The following is a 9,595-nucleotide window of genomic DNA, read 5'->3' on the forward strand; positions in this document are numbered from 1 at the left end:
CTTTGTTGGAGGGAGGTTAGGGGCTTCAGAGCAGGGGGCGGAGGACCGCCGGGCAGGGCTGGAGCCACAGGACAATTGTGCTGGTCGAAAGTGGGAGAAGACCCTTGCGGGAGGTAACCCCCCTGAAGTGTGGGCTGGGCCTGGTGACTTCCTTCTGCAAGTACTGCATGAGGGGTGACCACACAGGGGCAGCCTGATGACCCCTTGGCCCCTGGCCCAGGCCAGCGTCTCGGGGAGGATTCGCCTGGGTGGGTGCCCCGCACCGGGGCTTTCTCCCCCCACCCACAGCCCAGCCTCTCCAGGAGTGAACTGGGTCGGAGCAGAGGCGGCCCAGTGCCTGAGCCCTCCTCACTGGGGCAGTCAGGCCGCCCAGCGGGAGAGTCTGAAAAACAGCGGGGCAGGGGGCGGGGGGACCCTGAGGCACTGCGACAATGAAGTGTCACATGGGATCCCGGGACAGAGAGGGGCGGTAGGGAGTGGGAAATCTGAATAAAATGTGGCTCCTTGGCTCTAAGTTGGTGTGTCTGCAGGTTTGTTCATGTAACCACAGTGTCCATGGGGGCCTGAGGGCTGGGTGGGGGTTGCGGCAGTTCTGGACTAGCGCCTCAAGGTTTGTATAACTTTAAAGCTGTTCTAACATAGTTACTTTTTTTAATGAAAAAAAGTGAAGGGAGAGAATACTGAGGATGACAGTGAGATCACTTCCCTGTGTTTGAGTAAAATGATCTTGTTTTCTCCTCCTTTTATTCCAAAGAGCTTTGTTTTTCAGGAGCTCACGGGATTGAAAGTGATTAGAAGGAGACAGCGGGAGCAGCAGGCCCATCTGTCCCCTGACCCCAGCCCCACACCCAACCTCCCCTGCCCTGCAGGGCTGTTCCCACCAGCACAAGTGGAAAGGGGAGAATTCCTGGGGGCTGGTTTTGGCTCCAAGGAGGGGCAGTTTTCTTTTTTCTTTTTCTTTTTTTTTTTTTTTTTGAGATGGAATCTCGCTCTGTCGCACAGGCTGGAGTGCAGTGGCGCCATCTCGGCTCACCGCAAGCTCTGCCTTCCGGGTTCACGCCATTCTCCTGCCTCAGTCTCCCGAGTAGCTGGGACTACAGGCGCCCGCCACCATGCCCGGCTAATTTTTTGTATATATTTTTTTTTTTTAGTAGAGATGGGGTTTCACCGTGTTAGCCAGGATGGTCTCGATCTCCCGACCTCATGATCCACCCGCCTCGGCCTCCCAAAGTGCTAGGATTACAGGCGTGAGCCACCGCACCCGGCCTGTTTTTCTTTTTCTTTTTCTTTTTTTTTTGAGACAGAGTCTCGCTCTGTTGCCAGGCTGGAGTGCAATGACGTGATCTTGGATCACCGCAACCTCAGCCTCCCAAGTAGCTGTGATTACAGGCATGCACCACCATACTCGGCTTTTGTTTTGTTTTGTTTTGTTTTGTTTTTTGAGGAGTCTCCCTCTATTGCCCAGGCTGGAGTGCAGTGGTGCCATCTCTGCTCACTGCAACCTCCAGCTCCCCGGTTCAAGAGAATCCTCAGCTTCCTGAGTATCTGGGGTTACAGGCGTGCACCACCACGCATGGCTAATTTTTGTATTTTTAGTAGAGACAAGGTTTCACCATATTGGCCAGGCTGGTCTCAAACTCCTGATCTCGTGATCTGCCCACCTTGGTCTCCCGAAGTGCTGGAATTACAGGCGTGAGCCACCGCGCCCGGGCTGCCAGGCTAATTTTTTGTATTTTTAGTAGAGATGGGGTTTCACCACGTTAGCCAGTATGGTCTCGATCTCCTGACCTTGTGATCTGCCCGCCTCAGCCTCCCAAAGTGCTGGGATTACAGGCGTGAGCCACTGCGCCCAGCCTATTTTTCTTTTCTTTTTTTTTTTTTTTTGAGACAGAGTCTCTCTCTGTTGCCAGGCTGGAGTGCAGTGACGTGATCTCGGCTCACTGCCACCTCACCCTCCTGAGTAGCTGTGATTATAGGCACGCACCACCATGCCCGGCTAATTTTTGGGGAGGGGGGTCTCGCTCTATTGCCCAGGCTGGAGTGCAGTGCTGCCACCTCGGCTCACTGCAACCTCTGCCTCCCAGGTTCAAGCGAGTCTCCTGCCTCAGCCTCCCGAGTAGCTGGGGTTACAGGCGTGCACTACCACGCATGGCTAATTTTTGTATTTTTAGTAGAGACAAGATTTCACCATGTTGGCCAGGCTGGTCTCAAACTCCTGACTTCATGATCCACCCGCCTCAGCCTCTCAAAGTGCTGGGATTACAGGTGTGAGCCACCTCGCCCCGGCTGCCTGGCTAATTTTTGTATTTTTAGTGGAGACGGGGTTCACTATGTTGGCCAGTCTGGTCTCGAACTCCTGACCTCAAGTTATCCTGGAAGGGCAGTTTTCTTTTTTCTTTTTTTCTTTTCTTTTCTTTTTTTTTTTTTTTTTGGAGATAGAGTCTCGCTCTGTGGCCCAGGCTGGAGTACAGTAGCAATTTCAGCTCACTGCAACCTCCGCCTCCCGGGTTCAAGCAACTCTCTTGCCTCAGCCTCCCTAGTATCTGGGATTACAGGTGCATGCCACCACACCCAGCATTTTTTGTATTTTTAGTAGAGACGGGGTTTCACCCTGTTGGCCAGGCTGGTCTCGACCTCCTGACCTCAGGTAACCCGCCTGCCTCGGCCTCCCAAGGTGCTGGGATTACAGGTGTGAGCCACTGCGCCCGGCTTCCGGAAGGGCAGTTTTCTAACTTCACACCCCAGAACCTCCTGCAGTAAAGGAAGGTTCTGTCCAGGGCGGGTGCCCTGGCGTAGGCCACAGGACAGGAAGCCCCTCGCATCCATCAGAGCCCCCAGTCCCCGTGCACCCCACTGCTGCTCAGCAGAGACCAGAGCGGTCTCAGCAGGAGAGAGGCCCGGTGCTCTACAGATGGGCCCCAGAAAAGCTGGCCTCTCATGGGGAGCTCTCTGGGAGCTCAGTCCCTGAGGCCACCACTGGCATCGGCCCCTGTGATATACCCACCAGCATGCGGACCACAGGTGCTGGTCACTGGGGGACCTCTGGCCTCACTCTCCATGCCCCAGAAAGCCCCAAGGACGCAAACGTGGCAGGGTGGGCCTTAAAGCTCCCCAAGCAGGGCTACGGGGGCTGGTGGAGCACAGTCCCCGCTGTGTGGCTGCCCCTTCCTGGCACTCATGGATGCATCTGGAGTCTTCCTTCTGCATGAGCTCCCATGTCCTCTCCAGCCTGGAAGCCACCCGTGTGCTGGCTTGATGGGGTGACCCACAGCTCACTACACATTGATTTCTCTTTTTTTTTTTTTTGAGACGGAGTCTCACTCTATCACCCAGGCTGGAGTGCAGTGGCGCATCTCCACTCACTGCAAGCTTACGACATTCTCCCAAGTAGCTGGGACTACAGGCGCCCGCCACCACGCCTGGATAATTTTTTTGTATTTTTAGTAGAGACGGGGTTTCACCGTGTTAGCCAGTATGGTCTCGATCTCCTGACCTCGTGATCCACCCGCCTCGGCCTCCCAAAGTGCTGGGATTACAAGCGTGAGCCACTAAGCCCAGCCTACACGATGATTTCTGATGCTGTTGACCCTAGGGGTCTGGAAAGGCCCCTGTGACTCAACCTGGCCTTGGCCTGGGCCCAGCTGGACCCGGGGTGGCCACATACAGCCAGGGCCATGAGGGTCAGGAAGAAAGGACAGGATGGCAGCCTCCACTGTGGAAGCCCCAGGAGCCTGGGGGTGGTCACTGAAGCCTCACCCAGACCTGATGGCCAATGCACTGGACCCCAGCAGGGGCTGCCGCTTCTCCCACCCTCCAGAAGGCACTGTCATGAGTGTGCTTGGGAACAGGGTGCATAGTCAGATTGTTTGGGACACACTGTCTGCCCCTCACCTGCTTGGAGGGTTGTGATTTACATCCCTGCGTGAAGTTTCTGAGAAGCACATAGGACAGACACCCTTAATCAATGGAAGCCCCCATCTCTTCCAAAGCTGCTTCTGCAGAGAGCCTTCCCTTGATGGTGCATTTATAAATGGCACGGGAAACTTTCAGAAAACACCCATGTGGGAAATCGCACTCCAGAAGTGGGAAGACCGTGCAAACCATCTTCTCTCCAGGAGCCCGTGATAGTGCGAGGACTGGCGCCGATGGCCCGCTGGGGGCTGGGGAGCCCCGGGGACCCCATACCGTGTGCCCTCTGCCCTCCAGCCCATGGTGCGGAAGACACTGTCTCACCTCTGCTTGATCAATCTATAGACAGCAGGAGCCAAAGCCCAGCATCTGGAGACACACTCATGTCCTTGGGCCTCTGAGGGGCAGACTGAGGTGGTGATCACGGCAGGCGAAGGGGACGTGGTGACCCCTCCACATTCAGTGGCCACATCGAGTCACAGCTGTAGTGGGGTGGGGGGTGATACGTTTTGTGTTTGTGGAGTGAATGAACGAATGAGCAAACATTCATTTTTCTCCTGAAGACAAAGTGCCGCTGGAGTTAGAGGTGGCGTGAGCTCTTGCGTCTCCTGATCTAGAGAGGACTGCAAGGCGCCCCAGGGCCCATGGGTCCCCAGACTGCTCTCCAGCGCCACACCCAGGCCTGCGGCTCTCTCAACCTTGGATGAAGCTGATGCTTTAATATTGAGAAAGACAAGCCTGGGAGTGGGCCCAGCGCCCACAGTGAGGTCCTGGTTCTCTCCTGCAGACGTCAGCAGCCTCACAGAGCAGGCCTCAGACAAGGCTGTTCGGGACAATAATAAAACGAGTGAAAAAATAAGGCCACTTCCAAATCGTGGCTCCCACAAAAACAAGGTCCCGGGGCCACCCACAAAAATGACCGAATATCCCCCTCTCCTGGCTGAAAGGGGTGCGTGAAGCCTCTTCCCGGGCCATAGTTGGGGTTCACTGAGGCTCCCCATTGAAGAACCACAGCGCTCCTAGCCGAGCCCGGTCCAGAGCTGCCACGGTGAACACGGTCAGATAGTCAGGGACACGCTGTGGTCACAGTTGGCACCTTTGTATTAGAGTCTGAGAATCCCGAAATACTACATCTGCTTCACCCGTTAAATTATCCACCATTTCCCCCAAACCTACTAAGTAAAGGAAATTTCCTTTATGGTACATTTATAAAAGCCATGTACGAAATTGTGTTCTGGAAAACACGAGTTTTATGATGTTCGCATATGTCACATACTTTCATAGCTCAATATTCAAAAGCTGCAAAGTGGGAACAGTGAAATGGTGCTGGATTGTGCAGCCCCCAATGCTACTGAACTATGACATGAAATCTCTGGCAAAGCTTAAGTCTCTCTTCTCTGTTCCTTTCATTTTCTTTGTAACCCTTGCTTGTTTTTTTCTTATTAATTTGAAAGCCTCTTTATATATTAAAGATATTGACTCATATAATCCTCGTATACATAAGTCACAAATATTTTCTTCAGCTTGTTAATCTATTTTAATGTTTAATGGCATTTTTCTATGCAAGCATATTACATTATCATTTAGTCAGGTCCATGAGTCTTTTTTTTTTTTTTTGAGAAGGAGTCCCGCTCTGTTGCCCAGGATAGAGTGCAATGGCATGATCTCTGCTCACTGCAACATCCGCCTCCTGGGTTCAAGCAGTTCTCCTGGCTCAGCCTCCCGAGTAGCTGGGATTCCCGGCACGTGCCACCATGCCAAGCTGGTTTTTTTTTTGTATTTTTAGTAGAGACAGGGTTTCACCATGTTGGTCAGGCTGGTCTCCAACTCCTGACCTCGTGATCTGCCCACCTCGGCCTACCAAAGTGCTGGGATTACAGGTGTGAGCCACTGCGCTTGGCCCTGTCTACGAGTCTTTTTTTAGATTTCCATTCTTCCTAACATATTTAAAAAGTTCCTCTTCACCCCAAGATGGTATAAGCATGCACCTTTATTTTCTTTGGATATTTTATTTCATTTTTTCCATTTCATCATTTCATGTCTTCATTTAAGTCATTTTATGTATTAATTCTAATTGGAATAATTTTAGTGTTTGCCATGGCTTTTGCGAATTACTATCCAGTTCTCTCAAGATCACTTTTGAATACGCCCTCCATTCCCTGATGCATTCAAAACCGTGTGTCAATCACCTGCCTCTCTGAGTGCCTGGGTCTCAGGCTTTGCATTTCTCTCCAGGGGTGTGTCAGTTTCTGCCTTGGAGCTCCTGCCACGCTGGCTGTAGCTTTATACCATGTTTAAACACCCCGCGCCGTGTGACAGTCTTCAGAAGTGTCTTGTCTCGTGTTCACTCACCTTCCACAAGAACATTAAATCAAGTTCTTTGAAAAATCCCATTGGTAATTTGATTGGAATGAATGGTATTAGATTTACACACTAATTAAGGAAGAACTGACTTGTAAAAATACTATTAAGAAGTTAAATCCAGGCCGGGCACCGTGGCTCACGCATGTAATCTGAGCATTTTGGGAAGCCGAGGCAGATGGATCACCTGAGGTCAGGAGTTTGAGACCAGCCTGGCCAACGTGGTGAAACCCCATCTCTACTAAAAATACAAAAATTAGCTGGGCGTGGTGGTGGGCACCTGTAGTCCCAGTTACCTGAGAGGCTGAGGCAGAAGAATTGCTTGAACCTGGGAGGCAGAGGTTGCAGTGAGCCAAGATTGCGCCATTGCACTCCAGCCTGGGCAACAAGAGCAAAACTTCGTCTCAAAAAAAAAAAAAAAATTAAATCCAGGCACACACAGGGGCTCACACCTGTAATCCCAGTGCTTTAGGAGGCTGAGCTGAAGGATTTCTTGAGGCCAAGAGTTGGAGACCAGCTTGGGCAACATAGCAAGACCCCATCTCTACCCAAAATGAGGTGGGAGGATCACTGAGTCTAGGAGTTCGAGGCTGCAGTGAGCCGTGGTCTCACCACTGCACTCCAGCCTGGGTGACAGAGTGAGACCTTGCCAAAAAAAAAAAAAAAAAGTTAAATCTAGGAACATGATGTATCTTTCCATTTCTTTCCTCTTTCTTTTTTTTTTTTTTTTTGAGACGGAGTTTAGCTCTCGTTGCCCAGGCTGGAGTGCAATGGCGTGATCTCGGCTCACTACAACTTCCGCCTCCCAGGTTCAAGCAATTCTCCTGCCTCAGCCTCCCAAGTAGCTGGGATTACAGGCATGCACCACCACGCCTGGCTAATTTTGTATTTCTTTTAGTAGAGACGGAGTTTCTCCATGTTGAGGCTGGTCTCGAACTCCTGACCTCAGGTGATCCGCCTGCCTCGGCCTGCCAAAGTGCTGGGATTACAGGCGTGAGCCACTGTACCCGGCCTCTTTCCTCTTTTTTTTTTGAGACGGAGTTTCGTTCTTGCTGCCCAGGCTGGAGTGCAATGGCACGATCTCGGCTCACCGCAACCTCCACCTCCCGAGTTCAAGCGATTCTCCTGCCTCAGCCTCCCGAGTAGCTGGAATTACAGGCATGCACCACCATGCCCAGCTAATTTTTTGTATTTTTAGTAGAGATGGGGTTTCTCCATGTTGGTCAGGCTGATCTCAAACTCCTGACCTCAGGTGATCCCCCCACCTTGGCCTCCCAAAGTGTTGGGATTACAGGCGAGAGCCACCGCGCCCAGTCTCTTTCCTCTTTTTAAAAAATGTTGAGTACTTACAGCAGGGTGCAGTGGCTCACGCCTATAATCCCAGCACCTGGGTGGGCAGATACTCGGGCCCAGGAGTTAGAGACCAGCTTAACCAACATGGCAAAACCCTGTCTCCACTAAAAATACAAAAATTAGCCGGGCATGGTGACACATGCTTGTAATCCCAGCTACTCGTGTGGTGAGGCATGAGAATTGTTTGAACCTGGGAGGCAAAGGTTGCAGTGAGCTGAGATCGCACCACTGCACTCCAGCCTGTAGGACAGAGCAAGACTCTGTCTCAAAAAAAAAAAAAAAAGTGAGTATTCACTGGTATTGTGAATATTTTTCCATTATATTTTATTTCCCTTTTCTTTCTTTTCTTTTCTTCTCTTTTTTTTTTTTTTGAGACGGAGTCTTGCTCTGTCGCCCAGGCTGGAAGTGCAATGACACGGTCTTGGCTCACTGCAACCTCCGCCTCCTGGGTTCCAGCGATTCTCCTGCCTCAGCCTCCTGAGTAGCTGGGATTACAGGCACCTGCCACCATGCCCGGCTAATTTTTGTAATTTTAGTAGAGACGGGGTTTCACCATGTTGGCCAGGCTGGTCTCGAACTCCTGACCTCAGATGATCTGCCCGCTTCAGCCTCCCAAAGTGCTGGGATCACAGGTGTGAGTCACTGTGCCCGGCCTAGTTCCTATTTTAACATCAGAATGAATCTATGCATGTGTCTACAACTGAAGCCACGCTTATGCTTACAGATTAAACAGTGGCACGCTGGACCCCACGCAGTCTGAGCCCTCGGTCCCGGCTTCCCGTTACTGGCTGGCCCATTATCTGCGGAGAGGGACGCCCGGTCTCTCACCTGCCCCCACTGAGGGACATTTGGGTAGTTTCCGTTCTTTTGTCCTCCCTCTTAATCTCAGGGGACTCCCTTCCAGCCCCGAACCAGGCCACATTCTCCTCTATTCTCTGTGCCTCAGCAGGCCAGGAACAGGTGGGGACATGGGTGTGGAAGGGACGTCCCCAGAGCACCCTGGCCTCAGTGCCCGCTTCCATGGCCTGCAGTGGCTCAGAAACAGCACACCAGAGACCCGGAAGGGCTGAGGAATGGCTGGAGTCTGCCTGGGGGCTCAGGGCCAGGGCTGAGGATGCCGGAATGGGGGTGCCTGCAGAGGCCCTCTGACCTGGAGACTCCCTGTGTGTTTTCTGCACACGTTACTATCACTCAAGGGTTGGCACCTTTCCCCAGCACTAACCCATCAGCACATCTGGGGCCTGCTCCCCTTGTCTCTGGCCGGGTGGAGAGGCTGAGGGAGCCATGTTGTTTCTCTTGTCCATGCAGTGGGTGTGTCCAGACCTGCTCCAGGGCAGGCCCTGGGCAGACGCTGGGAGAAAGCCAGCCAAGTCTCTGGGAAAAGTGGACCCACCAGGCAGGGCTGCGGCCCCGAGGCCAAGTGGGCTAGGGCGGGTTCTTTGGGAACCTGGGATAGCCAGGGGACCCTGCAGAGATACAGGGGTGAGGCCAGAAGGCAGGCCTGCTGGGCAGAGGGAGGGTTCCTCCATGGCAGGGAACAGGGACTGGCTGCCCGGCAAAAGGCCAGCAATGAGGGGCTGGGAAGTCAAGCTGCGCTGGGGTCTGGAGGAAGAGCAGGTGCTGGGCTGGGCCAGGAGGGGACCAAGGGTGCGGTGCCTTCCTTTCTGGTGCCAAGGGCCATGGGCGGCTGCCAGCGTAGAAGGCTCCTGGGGCCCCTCTGAGCACAGGCTTCTCCTCGGTGTGGGGGGCTCTTCCTGCCCAGGGTCGGGGGCTCTTCCTGCCCAGGGTGAGCCTGTAAGCCAGCACAGCCGTGAGCACCTGAGTCGACAGCAGAGGGGCAGGGCCCCAGGTGAGGACTGTCACAATGGGGCCAGGGTGAGGATGCGCCTCGGCACAGGTGGCCGTGTGCGGGTCCAGACGACAGGCTCCCCCGGGCCTCCAGCTGAGGACACCCCACTTACCCACCTCCCTC

The 9,595-nt window shown here is 53.3% G+C and overlaps 3 annotated features.

The window, feature by feature from the left end:
* Positions 2,859-3,488: an enhancer, noted in NCBI's record as "H3K27ac-H3K4me1 hESC enhancer chr21:45685919-45686548 (GRCh37/hg19 assembly coordinates)". NCBI's record gives its function as "activates a minimal SCP1, AML or CMV promoter by ChIP-STARR-seq in naive H9 embryonic stem cells {active_cell/tissue: H9 hESC(naive)}" and the evidence as "EXISTENCE:reporter gene assay evidence [ECO:0000049][PMID:30033119]".
* Positions 3,489-4,118: an enhancer, noted in NCBI's record as "H3K4me1 hESC enhancer chr21:45686549-45687178 (GRCh37/hg19 assembly coordinates)". NCBI's record gives its function as "activates a minimal SCP1, AML or CMV promoter by ChIP-STARR-seq in naive H9 embryonic stem cells {active_cell/tissue: H9 hESC(naive)}" and the evidence as "EXISTENCE:reporter gene assay evidence [ECO:0000049][PMID:30033119]".
* Positions 8,132-8,738: an enhancer, noted in NCBI's record as "H3K4me1 hESC enhancer chr21:45691192-45691798 (GRCh37/hg19 assembly coordinates)". NCBI's record gives its function as "activates a minimal SCP1, AML or CMV promoter by ChIP-STARR-seq in primed H9 embryonic stem cells {active_cell/tissue: H9 hESC(primed)}" and the evidence as "EXISTENCE:reporter gene assay evidence [ECO:0000049][PMID:30033119]".

The sequence above is a fragment of the Homo sapiens genome, chromosome 21, assembly GCF_000001405.40.
Source record: "Homo sapiens chromosome 21, GRCh38.p14 Primary Assembly".
In the NCBI taxonomy this organism is placed as follows: Eukaryota; Metazoa; Chordata; class Mammalia; order Primates; family Hominidae; genus Homo; species Homo sapiens.